Source organism: Homo sapiens, chromosome 19 (assembly GCF_000001405.40).
Source record: "Homo sapiens chromosome 19, GRCh38.p14 Primary Assembly".
Classification (NCBI taxonomy): domain Eukaryota; kingdom Metazoa; phylum Chordata; class Mammalia; order Primates; family Hominidae; genus Homo; species Homo sapiens.
The window spans coordinates 11,039,264-11,055,149 of NC_000019.10; the positions used below are offsets into that span (position 1 = coordinate 11,039,264).

Consider the following 15,886-nt stretch of genomic DNA (forward strand, 5'->3'; position numbering starts at 1 on the left):
GAATCACTGGAACCTAGGAGTTGGAGTTTGTAGTGAGCCAAGATCGCACCACTGCACTCCAGCCTGGGCGACAGAATGAGACCCTGTCTCTGAAAAAAAGGGAAATGACCTAAATGCCCAAGAACAAGGGGAGGCTAAATTAGGGCACGTTGTGCACTGAAACACTAAACAGACATTAAAAAATTTTGTTGTAGAAAATTACAGGAAAAGATATCCATGACACAGCCAGCAGTGTGGCACGTGGGCTACAATTCCAGCGTGGCCTTCAGTTCTGCACACGTGCGTCAAAGGTGGGGAGAGTTCTGGTGGTGGGTGGCGCTGAGGGCTGCACAACACTGGGGACGTGCCTAATGCCCCTGAACTGTGTACTAAAACATGGCTGCTTTGGTAAATTTTATGTTATATATGATTTATAATATATTTTTTTAAATGCCCAGCTACTCAGGAGGCTAAGATGGGAAGATCACTTGAGCCCAGGAGTTAAAGTCCAACCAGGGCAATGTAGCAAGACCACATGTCTAAGAAAATTTAAAAATCGGCTGGGCGCGGTGGCTCACGCCTGTAATCCCAGCACTTTGAGAGGCCGACATGGGTGGATCACGAGGTTAAGAGATTAAGACCATCCTGGCCAACATGGTAAAACCCTGTCTCTACTAAAAATACCAAAATTAGCTGGACGTGGTGGTGGGCGCCTGTAGTCCCAGCTACTCAGGAGGGTGAGGGAGGAGAATCGCTTGAACCAGGAAGGTGGAGGTTGCAGTGAGCTGAGATTGCACCACTGCACTCCAGCCTGGTGACAGAGCGAGACTGCGTCTCAACAACAACAAAAAAGAAAATTTAAAAATAATTTTTCATACAAAAATTAGCCAGGTGTGGTGGCACGTACCTGTAATCCCAGGTACTTGGGAGGCTGAAGCAGGAGAATTGCTTGAACCCAGGAGGCGGAGGTTGCAGTGAGCCGAGATTGCACCACTGCACTCCAACCTCGGTGACAAGAGCGAAACTCCGTCTCAAAAATATAAAAATAATTTTTAAAATGTCTTAAAAAGGCCGGGTGTGGTGGCTCACACCTGTAATCCCAGCACTTTGGGAGGCCGAGGCGGGCAGATCACAAGGTCAAGAGTTTGAGACCATCCTGACCAACATGGTGAAACCCTGTCTCTACTAAAAATACAAAAATTAGCTAGGCGTGGTGGTTTGCGCCTGTAATCCCAGCTACTCAGGAGGCTGAGGCAGGAGAGTTGCTTGAACCCAGGAGGCGGAGGTTGCAGTGAGCCAAGATCATGCCACTGCACTCCAGCCTGGTGACAGAGTGAGACTCCGTCTCCAAAAAAAAAAAAAAAAAAATCTTAAAAAGAAGAAATAGATGGAGGCCAGGCCCAGTGGCTTATATCTGTAATCCTAGCACTTTGGGAGGCTAAGATGGGAGCACTGCTTGAGACCAGGAGTTCAAGACCAGCCTGGGCAATATTATGAGACCCCGTATCTACAAAAAATTTTTTTAATTAGCTGAGTGTGGTGACACGTGCCTGTAGTCCCAGCTACTTAGGAGGCTGAGGTGGGAGGATCTCTTGAGCCCTGGGAGTTCAAGACTGCAGTGAGCTATGATGGTGCCACTGCACTCCAGCCTGGGCAACAGGTCGAGACCCTGTCTCTAAAAATAAATAAGTAAATAAAAGAAATAGATGGGGAGAGTGTGGAACAGAGGTGTCAACATCACCTCCGGGTGAAGGGATTTCAGGAGCACGTTCTTTTCTGTACAGAGAAGATAGTTCTTTTTTTTTGGTCAAGAAATTCAACCATTAGTTTTTTAAAGACAAGCTTGGGTGGGGTGCCTGCTGGGGGCAGTGCTGGTCTTTCACTGCAGCCCAGGCACCCCTTGAGAGTCCCAGTGTGTGTTATGCCCCGAGCCAGTCAAGCTGAAGGGAGAGCGGGTGCGGGGGCCCTCCTCCGTGTCCCAGCCCGGCCCCTGGGATTGCGTCGCGGCCTCTGCTTGTCGACCTGGGTGCTGGCTGTCCTATTTTACTACTATTGACCCTGAAGGCCATCGAGGAGGGCACGCTGGAGGAGATCGAAGAGGAGGTCCGGCAGAAGAAATCATCACGGAAGCGCAAGCGAGACAGCGACGCCGGCTCCTCCACCCCGACCACCAGCACCCGCAGCCGCGACAAGGACGACGAGAGCAAGAAGCAGAAGAAGCGCGGGCGGCCGCCTGCCGAGAAACTCTCCCCTAACCCACCCAACCTCACCAAGAAGATGAAGAAGATTGTGGATGCCGTGATCAAGTACAAGGACAGGTAAGCGAGGAGGCGGGGAGGGCGGGGGCTGTAGGGGTCCCCGTGGGAGCAGGCCTGGCATCTGCACTCTGACTCTGCACACTCAGGCTTGGGCCGCTCACTCTTTCACTCATCCACAAACACTGACTGAATCTCTGTGTCTTTGAGCCTGGCCCTGAGGAACATGCTTTCTGGAACAGGGAAGCACACATGTATCTGCGGTGATGAGAGGGAATGTCACATGTGGTCGAGAGGAGAGGCAGGGGTGCGGGTCTCGGAGAAGGGGACATTGCAGCAGAGCCTTGAGAGAGGGGAGGTTGGGGAGAGTGCACCAGCAGAGGCCACAGCAGGCGGAGAGGCTCTGCCAAAGTTGTGGCCTGGTGGCCTCAAGGGATGAGGTGGGATGAGGGGTTATATGGCAGTAATGGGTGCTGCCCGTGTGGCCAGGAGGTTGGGGACAAGAGGCTGGCATGTCTGGAGCAGAGAAAGTGGCAGCCCTCTCCTGTCCTTGCACCCTCCCAGGCTACCTGTGCCATCTCTGTGTTGGTGAGATGGTGGCCACACTCCTGCTCTCTGCCAGGCCCTGCTCCAAGCCTGGAGATCGCTGTCCTCACAGACATGTCCTATATACGAGGCAGCATGCGGTTCCAGCTGTGGCCACGGCCCAGCGGCGGATCATAACGTGTTGGTGGATCATGAGTGCCATTTATATGTTTTTCATTTACTAATATCCTTTTCCGTGAGCGACTCTATATGGGTACCATTTAAATAAGAAGAAAGGAATGTTCTCAGCAACTCCCCAGGGAGGCATGTGCACCTTCTGCCAGCCCAGGGCAGGTCACAGAGCTGGGCAGGAGCCAGCAAAGGTGTAAGGCCCATGCCTGGCCCAGGACTCACCCAGTCTTCCACTCTCCAAGGTCTTATTTCACTTCCTGGTACACACTGGCCAGTACGGCTGTCCCCGTAATGGGAGGGTTGTACTGTTTGATTTTAAATAACAGTTTGCTGTTAGTCATGAAGCAGAGCGTGGGGGAATTGTATCTGTTGGAGGGGAAAGTGAAGGGAGCCCACATGCATGGTTTGGAGAGAATCTTACCAAGTGTGAAGTTTTAGAGGATGGTAACAATTGGAGTGCCTAAATTAATGAGTCAAAATTACCGCGCAAGGCCAGCTGTGGTGGTCCACACCTGTCAGCCCAGCACTTTGAGAGGCTGAGGTGGGAGGATCACTTGAGGTCAGGAGTTTGAGACCAGCATGGACAACATGGTGAAAACCCATCTTTACTGAAAATAGGAAAACAATTACCTGGGCGTGGTGGCACGCTTTTTGGGAGGCTGAGACAGGAGAATCACTTGAACCCAGGAAGTGGAGGTTGCTGTGGACCAAGATTGCACCACTGCACTCCAGCCTTGGGTGACAGAGCAAGACGCCCACTCCAAAAACAAAATACTGCTTAAAAAGGTTCTTTTAGCCAGATGCGGTGGCTCATGCCTGTAATCCCAGCACTTTAGGAGGCCAAGGCGGGCGGATCACTTGAGGTCAGGAGTTTGAAACCAGCATGGCCAATATGGCGAAACCCCCTCTCTACTAAAACTACAAAAATTCGCCGAGCGTAGTGGTGCATGCCTGTAATCCCAGCTACTCGGGAGGCTGAGGTAGGAGAATCTTGAAGCTGGGAGGCGGAGGTTGCAGTGACCCAAGATCACATCAGTGCACTCCAGCCTGGGGGACAGAGTGAGACTCCGTCTCAAAAAGAGAAAAAAAGAAAGGTTCTTTTATTATTGGAAGAGAAACAGATGATGAAGGAAAGGAGACATATTCAAGTTCAATGCCAGATCTGAAAATGTCATGTGTTGTCAGTATTGAGAAAAAAATATATAGACTCTAATTCACAAACCTAACTCCAAGGCTAAGTCCTCAAAGAGGAAAGCAAGTGGAGGACTTAAGTTACTTAAAGTGCGGGATACAGCTGCGGGCAGTAGCACATGCCTGGGGTCCCCACTACTTGGGAGGCTGAGGTGGGAGGATCACTTGAGCACAGCAGGTCCAGGCTACAGTGAGCCATGATCACACAGCTGCACTCCATCCTGGGTGATGGAATGAGACCCTGTATCTTAAAAAAATGAAATAAATACAGAATACTTATTTAAAACATGGGCCAGGTATAGTGGCTCGTGTAATCCCAGCACTTTGGGAGGCTGAGGTGGGCGGATCACTTGAAGTTAGGAGTTTGAGACCAGTCTGGCCAACATGGCAAAACCCCATCTCTACAAAAAATACAAAAATAGAAATTAAACTGGCATGGTGATGCGTGCTTGAGCTCCCAGCTCGGGAGGCTGGGCACGAGAATCGCTTGAACCCAGAAGGCAGAGGGTGCAGTGAGCCAAGATTGCACCACTGCACTCCAGCCTGGGTGACAGAGTGAGACAATACCTGAAAAACAAAAAACAAAAACAAAAAAAGGGAATTCGCAGAAATCTAATGACAATGACAGACCCTCCCCATGTTTTATTTCTAATGATAATCTTGTGAGGGAAACTTAACATTACCAACCTAAAGAAGACCCTTGAAGCGCAGTGGGGAAAGCACGGGTGTCTCCATCACACTGGTCTCCTGGGTATCCACGTAGAGAGGATGAGCCTCGACCACCCCCACACACGCACACACCATGCACTTGGATCCACGTGACATGGACTGTGGATGTAAGAACGTGAAAGGTAAAACAAAATTCTAGAAGAAAGCACGGGAGAAAATCTTCATGAGTAGGCATCGATTTCTTCCACGGGAGCCAAAAGCCACTAATCACAAACAATTGAGAAATTAGACCTCACTGAAATTAATAACATCTGTTTATTAATGGACACGCTGATGGAGACAGTGAAAACTCCTCATAGATGAGGAAAAGACAACACAATTTAAAGCTGGACAAGAGCCGGGAACAGACGCCTCCTTACACAGGACATCCCAGGACTAATCAATGTGGGGAAAGGTGCTCACGTCATTGCATTAGCATCACAACTTCAAGAAAATGCTCGTTAAAACCAGAGTGACTTGCACCAGCACCCGCCCCAGAACGGCCGAATGCCCATCAGTGCTGGCAAGTCTGAAGCAGTCTGGCCTCACACCCTGCGTGTAGGAGTATGCAGCTCTTTGGCAATCTCTTCTGTTTTGCTTTGTTTGTTTTTAACCATCGAACTGCAGAAGATAATATTTTCTGAGGCTCAGCCTGTACATACCCTCTGACCCAGCAGCCTGCAGCCCTCGTTCTACCCAGGAGAGCTGAGTGCATCTGTCCACACCGACAGACGTGTCCATAGCCACTTTGGTCATAATCTCCCAAAACAAGAATCAGCCCAGTGTCCATCTACAGGGGCATGGATCAGTGGAGGCCTAATCGTACAGGGCCCCAAACAGCTGTGAAAACAGACATAGTACTGCTACCTGGAAGAAGCTTACATTTTGTTGAGTGAAAGAAGCCAGACACTAAAAAGGGCATACTGGCCGGGCACGGTGGCTCACGCCTGTAATCCCAGCACTTTGGGAGGCCGAGGCGGGCGGATCACGAGGTCAGGAGATTGAGACCATCCTGGCTAACATGGTGAAACACCGTCTCTACTAAAAATACAAAAAATTAGCCGGGTGTGGTGGTGGGCGCCTGTAGTCCCAGCTACTCGGGAGGCTGAGGCGGGAGAATGGCATGAACCCAGGAGGCGGAGCTTGCAGTGAGCCGAGACCGCGCCACGGCACTCCAGCCTGGGCGACAGAGCGGGACTCCGTCTAAAAAAAAAAAGAGGGCCTACTGTGTGCCTCCAGTTCTGTGAGGGTCAGAAGCTGATCCACAGTAATGGCTGCCAAGCAGTGCTTACCTTGAGAGAGGGAATAGCAGGAAAGCCACACGACGAGCCTTCTAGGATACTGGGGATATTCTCTCTATAGATCTGGATGTGTATATGATGTGTACATTCACCAAGGTGTACACATGAGATATGTACACTTCTCTGTATTCCATTACACCTTGGTTTTTGAAAAGACAGAAACAGCATGCTCAGCTTATTAAGAACCTGAATATTTTCAGACAAAAAGTATGTCTAGTGTTAGTCCACTTTTTTTTTTTTTTAGTTTTAGACTCACAGAGCCCTCTTAGGGTCATATTTAGTTGTATATCATCTGACAAAAGAGGGAATGGCTCACCCAGCTGCTACAGTCAGTCTTGTAGCCTTTGTAAGATTTGATGATAAATCATACAATAAATTAAAACTTTCGGCTGGGCACAGTGGCTCACGCCCATAATCCCAGCACTTTGGGAGGCCGAGGCGGAGGATCACTTGAGCCCAGGAGTTCAGATGAGCCTGGCCAACATAGTGAGACTCTGTCTCTATTTAAAAAAAAGAAGAAAAAAAAAGTCTGGGTGTGGTGGCTCACGCCTGTAATCCCAGCACTTTGGGAGGCTGAGGCGAGCGGATCACAAGGCCAGGAGATCAAGACCATGCTGGCTAACACAGTGAAACCCCGTCTCTACTAAAAATACAAAAAATTAGCCAGGCGTGGTGGCGGGCGCCTGTAGTCCCAGATACTCGAGAGGCTGAGGCAGGAGAATGGCGTGAACCCGGGAGGCAGAGCTTGCAGTGAGCCGAGATTGTGCCACTGCACTCCAGCCTGGGCGACAGAGCGAGACTCCGTCTCAAAAAAAAAAAAAAAACCCCAAATCTTAACTCTTACTGCTAAGTGACTGCTTTATCGAAACTGTTCTGTTTCGGGACATTTGATTCTGGTAGAGATTTTGAGACCTGCTTTGAAGAGGACACCAACATTTCAGTCACACAGCAATGCTCCTGTCTTACCTGGGATCCATGTGGGAGGATGCCTCAGTGGGGGATTTGATCTGTGTTTTCAATTTAACCTCACATCTTACTGGAATGGATGGATTCACAGACCTGGGGGTCGCCCATTGGACTGGGAGTAACTACGTTGGAATTACAAGTAGGACAACAAAGATGACTATTAAAGAAAGCCTCCTGAGTGCTGGAAGCACAGCAGGCGTGGGTCTGTCCACTCACTGTAATGTGATTTGCACAGGAAAACATCACATAGGGCACATCAACTCAGGAAAGATAGTCGTTGAAAAGCTACCTCAGCTGGGCGTAGTGGTCACGCCTGTAATCCCAGAACTTTGTAAGGCTGTGAGGCTTGTGGATCCCTTGAGACCAAGAGTACGAGACCAACCTGAGCAAAACAGGGAGACCCCGCCTATGCAAAAAATACAAAAATTAGCCAGGCGTGGTGGTGCACTCCTGTTGACTCAGCTATTCAGGAAGCTGAGGCAGAAGGACCACAAGAAGTCAAGGCCGCAGTGGGGTATAATCACATCACTGCACTCCACCATGGGTGACAGAGGTGAGACCCTGTTGCAAAAAAAAAAAAAAAAAAAGCAAAAGAAAAGCTGCCTCCATTTAGCAATAATTTCAAACATGATGTTTGGGTACAAAATTGGTGTACTTAATGGATATTTCTGATATTCTTAACTAAATTTGAAGCTGTGAGGGAAGACAAACTCAGGGTCCACAGGGTGGGAAAAGTCCACAAGATCACCCTCAAGTGCCGTCATTCTCTAGGACCCCGAGAGCCCTAGCGGTTGTTACGCTTGCAGTTATGATTTATTACAGTGCAAGGCTACAGATTAAAATCAACCAAGGCAAGAGATGTATGGGGCCTCTTGGGGGCCAAGGTGGGCGGATCACTTGAGGTGATCTGGACGGTTCCAGACACAGGGCTTTCCTTTGTCTCCTCCCTGTGGAGTTGAAGACAGCGCTGATGTTCCCGGTGACGTTGACACAGAGCACTGCCAACCAGAGAAGCCTCCGTGTCCAGAGGTTTTTTTTTTTTTTTGGAGATGCAGTCTCACTCTGTCACTCAGGCTGGAGTGCAGTGGCACTATCTTGGCTCACTGTAACCTCTGCCTCCTGGGTTGAAGTGATTCTTCTGCCTCAGCCTCCTGAGCAACTGGGATTACAGGCTCGCGCCACCACGCCTGGCTAATTTTTGTATTTTTTAGTAGAGATGGGGTTTCACCATGTTGGCCAGGCTGGTCTCGAACTCCCGACCTTAAGTGATCCGCCCGCCTCAGCCTCCCGAAGTGTTGGGATTACAGGCATGAGCCACCGTACCCACCCTGTGTCCAGCATTTTTACTGGGACTTGGTCACAAAGACACAGCTGGCTACCCACGTGGCTGACCTCCATCTCCAGCCCCTCTGCAGGTGAGCAGAAACTACATAGCCCAAAGCCCCAACCTAGGACTGGTCCCAGACCCCACGTAAACAAAGACAGCCATTAGGTGTGACATTCTAAGGACTCAGAGATCACCTCCCAGGAGCCCCAGGCAAAAGCCAGACCTCATTTGGGGCGAAGTTACATTCTTTTTTATTATTATTATTATTTGCCCATCATTGTCTAGAAGTTACATTCTGTATGACACATCTGTCAGATCCCTGGAAGCTTCCTCGCCACCGACTGCATGGCAGGTGGTGCTCATGTCACTCGGCCCTTCCTTGGCCCCACACAGCTGCACCAGGCTGAGAAGAGCTTGAATGGAATAAAGTCAGACACAGCTAACAGCTCACTTTTTTGTCTCCAACTTTGAATTGCTCCTTTCCAAGAAAAGAAAAAAAACTTCTTTTTGTTTAATTGGATTTTTTTTTTTATTTATTTTTTGAGGCAGAGTCTCACTCTGTCACCCAGGCTGGAGTGCCATGGCACAATCTCGGCTCCCTGCAACCTCCACCTTCCAGGTTGAAGTGATTCTCCTGCCTCAGCCTCCCAAGTAGCTGGGATTACAGGTGCACACCACCATCATGCCTGGCCGGAATTTTTGTTTTTTAGTTGGCTCTCCAGAACCCTCTAAGTAGTTCAGCTCTGCAATTGAGTTAAATGTGAAGCCTGAAAAGAGACTGGCATCTGTGTAGACCTGAGTTCTAACAATTCAAAGAGTGAACACGGGACGTTGTCCTCTGGATTCGGTGTCAGGAGCCTGCCTCGCCGAGCTGGAGAGTGTGCCCATGACTGCAGGTGGGAGCCACATGGTCCGTCTAGGTGGCGACACCTGAGGACAGAAGTGGTTTAGCTGGGCACCCGCTGCTGTGTTGGGGCCAGACCCTTTTGGAGAGGCAGGGACGCCCTTCCTGTCAGGTGGAATCTTTTCAAATATTGCTTTTGATCGTTGGAGATACTTGCAGCCCCCTAGTTCGTGTTTTATTCTGGCAGAATTGTGTTTGACGTGACCTCTGTGTTGACCTCATCATACGTGTACAGTTGTCTTGCCTGGGAATCTTATACTCTGTTCTTCTGCACTCAGATTCACAGCCATGAGGCCGCTCCTCCCAAGGCCCTGGAGTGTGGCACTGCCAGCTGTCACAGCCACGGTCCTTTACATTGTATACACAGAGTGCAGTGACATGCCCCTCCTGCTCAGGGGCCACAGTAGGAACAGGCTGGAGTGTTCTGTGGTACCATGCCGGCAGTGCTGGCTTCTGCTGTCCAGGGGCTTGTGGTGGCTCCAGTGGGAAGGGCCACGTAAGCAGAACAGGAAGTGTGAGCAGTGTCCACTGGGAGGAGAGGGACAAGTGTCCCAGGCAGAGAGGACACAGTGCATGCAGAGGCTGGAGGGAGGCTAGGGGCTTGAGTGGGGCTGCGCCAGCACCAGGGGCCTCACAGGGGCCCTGGGCCACACACCTGCCCTTAGCCAAGGGCGTTTCTCCTTGGTGGTTTGAAATCTCAAACCACATTGAGGAACCTGCCAGAAATCGAAACCAGAATTAAGAAATTAAGTTACATGTAGGAGATTTTACTTTAAAATCAGAACATGCAGAAACGTTCTCTGTGGCTTCGGGTCAGGTTCGGGCTTGTGGGGCTGTACACTGCCAGTTGATACCTTCTTCCCTGGGTTCTGTGTTTTTTTTTTTTTTTTTGAGACAGAGTCTTGCTCTGTAGCCCAGGCTGGAGTGCAGTGGCACAGTCTTGGCTCACTGCAACCTCTGCCTCCCTCCCTGGGTTCTTTATAGCAGTCAGCAGCTGGTGGCTGAGGCATTTGGGGCACTGTGTCCAAGTGTCAAGGCCGCATGTGTGTCAGGGGGCACACCCTTGGTGTGCTTGGTAAGGGCTCAGAGAAGGGCATCTGCTGGTCCATGTGGGCTCAGCCAGCAGCCTGCTAAAGACCACCCCGCCAGCCACCAGCCTGCCTGCGACAGTGATAGGGCAGAGATGCTGCTACAATAAAGACCATGCGGGCCAGGCGCAGGCGCTCACATCTGTAATCCCAGCACTTTGGGAGGCCAAGCCGGGCTGATCACTTGAGCTCAGAAGTTTGAGAACAGCTTGGCCAACGTGGCAAAAACCCCGTCTCTATTAAAATACAAAAATTAGCCAGGCATGGTGGCACTCGCCTGTAATCCCAGCTACTTGGGAGGCTGAGGCAGGAGAATCGCTTGAACCCAGGAGGAGGTTTCGGTGAGCCAAGATTGCACCACTGCACTCCAGCCTGGGTGACAGTGAGACTACGTCTCAAAAAAAAAGACTGTGCTAGACGGTGGTGTTGAACTTGAACTTGATGCTTGTGCTGAGGTCAGGAGACACGTGCACAGCTTCAGGGCTAGAGGGGCACAATGGCTGCAGACTATGCTCGGGCAGCTCGGAAAGACGGTGACGGGTCCAGGCTGCCGCAGCTAAGCCTCACAAGAGCTCTGGCCCCACCAGGCGGGCCCTCTGGGTTCCATTCCCACTCCCCACTGCCTGGAGGCAGCAGCCCTGTGGTTACTGTAGGAGGGACCTGAATGCAGTGAAGATCTGCACTCCACACCTGTCTCTGTGCCTCAGTCTCCACGTCTGCAGCACAGGGGCCTGACTGAAATAACGTGGCCAGGCACACAGCCCAGACGCCAGCACTGTGTGCACTGTGGGAGGGGACGATGGTCCCTAGCCCAGGGCCTGAGCTGCTGCCTTGCCAATTCGTGGTGACAGCTTTGGCCTGGGTCTGGCAGGGGCTGGCTGCTACTGCTGAAGGCCTGTCTGCACTGTTTCCCTGCCTTTCCACAAGCACTGTCCCTCCTGGCTCTTCAGAGTTGAGTGGTTATACCTTGTGCAAGAAAAACAATGAAACAGATTGTCTGAATGTTTCAGACCTGCCTGAAACATTCTGCAGGAGAGGTCATCCCAAGGCTTGAAAGTGTTTGTCACACTCCTTCAAGCCCCCAGGGCAGGGCCCCTGAGGGAAGGGTGCAGGTGGAGGGTGGGCAGGAGTGGGAGCCATTCCTTGGGGACAGGGGGGCTCCTCAGGGCTGTCTGGCCCTTGGCCTGTGGTTCCAGGTCTATGGTCTGCTTGGCACATAGCCTGGACCCTGGTGCTGTGCAGGCACTGGCTGGATGAGGGCACCGAGCAGATGAGCCCCAGGCATGCCCACTTATGGGCATAGGCTGGGTGCAGGGCACTGGGTCCAACATAACCATGGCAGAGGGCTCAGGGGGCCTAAAAGTCATGGATGGAGTTGCCCACGCAGCCTGCGGTCAGGTTCCCTGTGGAGCCGTGCTGGGGTTCTGCGCCTGCCCCAGGATTTGCTGGAAGAAGCTCCCCCTCCTCTGTTTGTGAGTCGGGCCCTACCCCCAAGTCTCCCCCTCAGTGATAGAGACCTTTACATAACACAAATAAACAAGGCAACTGGTTTAGAAGAATGAGTCTGAAAACTAGAATGGCGTGTTTAAGGAAAGCTTAGGACAGGACAATTAGAGACAGAGGTGCAGGTGTGTGGAGTTGGCAGCAGGAGGCCTGGGGGAGCCGCTCGTGCCTTTCCCTCCTGCCCTGGCCTCCCTTGGAACTCGGAGCAGCCCCCTGCCTTGAGGAGGCCCTTCCTTTCAGTGAGCCTGTGCCGCAGTCGTCCGAGGGAACACAGTGGGGACATATTTCCTTTTTTTTTTTTTTTTTTGAGACAGAGTCTCACTCTGTCGCCAGGCTGGAGTGCAGTAGCCTGATCTCAGCTCACTGCAAATTCTGCCTCCTGGGTTCAAGCAATTCTCCTGTTTCAGCCTCCCGAGTAGCTGGGACTACAGGCATGCACCACCACGCCCAGCTAATTTTTGTATTTTTAGTAGAGATGGGGTTTAACCACGTTGGCTAGGATGGTCTCGATCTCTTGACCTCATGATCCGCCAGCCTCGGCCTCCCAAAGTGCTGGGATTACAGGAGTGAGCCACCATGTCCGGCCGGAAATGTTTATTAAAATAGCAGATGAGGCCGGGTGCTGTGACTCAGGCCTGTAATCCCAGCACTTTGGGAGGCTGAGGCGGGTGGATCACGAGGTCAGGAGTTCAAGACCAGCCTGACCAAGATGGTGAAACCCATCTCTACTAAAAGTACAAAAATTAGCCGAGCGTAGTGAGACTTGCCTATAATCCCAGTTACGAGGGAGGCTGAGGCAGGAGAATCGCTTGAACCCAGGAGGCAGAGGTTGCAGTGAGCCGAGATTGTGCCACTGCACTCCAGCCTGGGCAACAGAGCGAGACTCCGTCTCAAAAATAAATAAATAAAAATAGATGATCATAGACAGGAGGGATGAAGTAGAAGATTCAAAGCAGCTTAAAAAAAGGAAGTAAAAAAGAAATAAGGTCAGGAGACAAGATTGAGTGACTGTGAAACATCAACAATAGGCAGATTTAAAATAAAGTCAGGAAATAGCTAGATCAAAGAATAGAAAGGTGAACCAGGTGTGATATCCACCTGTAGTCCCAGCTTCTTGGGAGGCCAACGCGGGAAAATCACGTGAGCCCAGGAGTTGGAGGCACCGCTGCACTCAAGCCTGGGTGACACAGTGAGACCCTGTCTCAAAAAGCAGCAGGAAGAGAGGCTGGCATGTGGGGCTCCAGGGGGTGTGAAGGAGGGTCCACACCCTCCTTCCTCCACCTGGCCATACTGAGCAGCACATTCTCTGAGCCAACGGCCCCTACAAACACCCACCCTTTCCTCCTGGTAGCCCAGAGGGCGCCCCTGCCTGCTCACTTCCCAATGTCGGGATCCTGTGATTTCTGCCTCTTCAGAAAGGACTTGAGGCATTTTCTGACTCAGAGCCACTCAGGATTCCAGGACCTCCTGTGGTGACAACAGGGACACCAGTAGTGATGAATTCAGAAAAGAGCGAACGCCCCTCAAGCTGCCCTCCCCCAGCCCTGCAGACAGTGGCCATGGGCCTCCCTGCACTCAGGACCGACTGCACCTGCCTGCGGCGTAGGGGAGCTGGGGCTGGCCTTTCCTTTTCATCTTCCCCTGGCACTGGGAAATGCTCTGGGTGGTGCCATGTATAACACCCTTTGTCACAGTGCTCTCATTTCGTCGTGTAAAAGGCCAGTCCCCGCCTCGCAGTGTTGGGGCAGCCAGCACAGGCACGTGAGACAGGAGCCACACCTGGGTTCTCATCTGGCATCTGCCTCTTGCCATGCTCAGGTTCTTGCCTCCAGATATAGGGCATCAAACTAAGTGGTTTCCAAACTTGGGTTCTTGGTGGGGAGTGAGATCAGGGTTTCTTAAAAACTGCACTTGGAGGCTGGGCACGGTGGCTCACGCCTGTAATTCCAGCACTTTGGGAGGCCGAGGCGGGCGGATCACCTGAGGTCAGGAGTTACAAAAAACGGAACCTAGGCTCATGCCTATAATCCCAGCACTTCGGGAGGCCAAGGCTGGCGAATCGCTGGAATTTAAGAGTTCCAGACCAGCCTGGCCAACGTGGCAAAACCCTGTTTCTACTCAAAATACGTAAGTTAGCCGGGCATGGTGGTGGGTGCCTGTAATCCCAGCTACTCGGGAGGCGGAGGTTTCAGTAAGCCAAGATTGCACCACTGCACTCCAGCCTGGGTGACAGAGTGAGACTCCGTCTCAAAAAAAAAAAAAAAAAGAAAGAAATTCAAATCTCAGTGTCGATAAATGAAGTTTTGTTGGAATGCAGCCAAAGCCCACCGATTTCTGCGTTGTCTGTGGTTCCCTTCATGGAACAGTGGCAGAACTGAGCAGTTGCAACAGAGGCAGGCCCAGCAAGCCTCAAATATTTACACTGAGCTGAGCGCAGTGACTCACACCTGTAATTCCAGTGCTTTGGGAGGCTGATGTGGGAGGATCCCTTGAGCCCAGGAGTTTGAGACCAGCCTGGGCAACCTAGTGAGACCCCATCTCTACAAAATATTTTTTAAATTAGCCAGGTGTTGTGGCGTGTGCCTGTAGTCCTAGCTACTTGGGAGGCTGAAGCAGTAGGATCTCATGAGCCCAGGAGTTGGAGGCTTCAGTGAGCTAGGATGGCACCACTGCACTCTAGCCTGGGCAACAGAACAAGATCGTGTCTGTAAAAAGAGAGAAAAGAAACAGACAATTCCTAGACTGCAGCAGGTGTTTGCAGTAGTGCATCCAGCAAAGGACTCCCCAGGGAAGGAAATGGGCCAAAGATGGGAACAAGCGCTGCTTGGAAGAGCCTGTGAAACAGTGCTTGGCTTCTCTGCACAACAAGGAAACGTGTTTAGGGCCACATTGTAGAATGGCTACAAGGACAAGCACCACTCACGCTGGCTCAGTATCTCCCAAGTAGAGCATTTCCCCACCCTGTGACCTAGAGTATCTTCTCCCAGATAAATTCCTAGGAGAACTGCAAACTAAACACTTGTTCCTGAGTGTCCACAGACACTTGCTTCCTGGTGTCCAACCCTGAGCACAGCCCAGATGCCCGGCAGCGGGAACTGGGCATGGCTGGTGTGTGCCCACCTCGGGACCTGCTGCTGCACTCGGCAACAGGGACAGCAAGGAGGCAGGAGGCCAGGCCAGGTTTGGGGGCTCCCCTGTGTGTTTCTGCATCATCAACTTGAAGAAGCAGCCAACCTCGGCCCAGGATCATCCCTGGGGGAAGGACTGACAGGAGCGCATCTTTAGCCTCATGCTTAAGATCTGTGCATTGGGCCAGGTGCGGTGGCTCAGCCTGTGATCCCAGCACTTTTGGGAGGCCAAGGTGGGTGGATCAGGAGGTCAGGAGTTCGAGACCAGCCTGACCAACATGGTGAAACCCGTCTCTACTAACAATACAAAAATTAGCTAGGTGTGGTGGTGCACCTGTAATGCCAGCTACTTGGAGGCTGAGGCAGGAGAATCGCTTGAACCCTGGAGGCAGAGGTTGCAGTGAGCCGAGATCACGCCACTGCATGATGTGTGCATTGGTGTTAAGTCAGCTATTAAGAGGTGTGGGCTGGGTGTGTGTGGGGGTCAGAGGAGGTGATGTTTGCCCTGAGATGAGGTCAGAGCCCACATTCCCATGGGGGTGGACTCCCCTTTGTAGGCCTTGACACGAGCATGGGAGCGGAGCTAGGGGCACTGACATCAAAGGTGGTGGCGCCTATCCAGAGGACTCCGGGTTTCATTCCAAGTGCGGGGAGGCTGCAGCATGTCCCTCTTTAATATAGAGGTGAGGGAGGCTCTCAGCACCCTGCCTGTTGCAGGGAAGCCTGAGGACAGGACCTCCAGGGAACTCTGCACCAGAGCGGAATCCTCAGACCGGCAACTGGGTGGTCTTGATTCATCCAGAACGTAATTCTCCTAGA

General features: G+C 51.7%; 1 protein-coding gene across 25 annotated transcripts in view, besides 3 other annotated features; it reads left to right on the top strand.

The window, feature by feature from the left end:
* Window positions 1-15,886, top strand: part of SMARCA4 (SWI/SNF related BAF chromatin remodeling complex subunit ATPase 4) — a 101,244-nt gene that overhangs the window by 78,234 nt on the left and 7,124 nt on the right. For 12 of the 25 annotated variants that reach the window (NM_001128844.3, XM_047439249.1, XM_047439247.1 and 9 more), the window contains one exon: window positions 2,044-2,297. In NM_001128844.3, the coding sequence (NP_001122316.1) occupies window positions 2,044-2,297 (254 nt within the window). Of the gene's footprint in view, window positions 1-194; window positions 291-437; window positions 637-2,034; window positions 2,298-15,886 lie in introns of all 25 variants that reach the window. The other 13 variants (XM_011528198.2, XM_024451658.2, NM_001128849.3 and 10 more) reach the window with 3 other exon arrangements.
* Window positions 7,087-7,136: an enhancer, noted in NCBI's record as "active region_14003". NCBI's record gives its function as "activates an Ori minimal core promoter by ATAC-STARR-seq in GM12878 lymphoblastoid cells {active_cell/tissue: GM12878}" and the evidence as "EXISTENCE:reporter gene assay evidence [ECO:0000049][PMID:35858748]".
* Window positions 9,734-9,783: an enhancer, noted in NCBI's record as "active region_14004". NCBI's record gives its function as "activates an Ori minimal core promoter by ATAC-STARR-seq in GM12878 lymphoblastoid cells {active_cell/tissue: GM12878}" and the evidence as "EXISTENCE:reporter gene assay evidence [ECO:0000049][PMID:35858748]".
* Window positions 9,874-10,163: an enhancer, noted in NCBI's record as "active region_14005". NCBI's record gives its function as "activates an Ori minimal core promoter by ATAC-STARR-seq in GM12878 lymphoblastoid cells {active_cell/tissue: GM12878}" and the evidence as "EXISTENCE:reporter gene assay evidence [ECO:0000049][PMID:35858748]".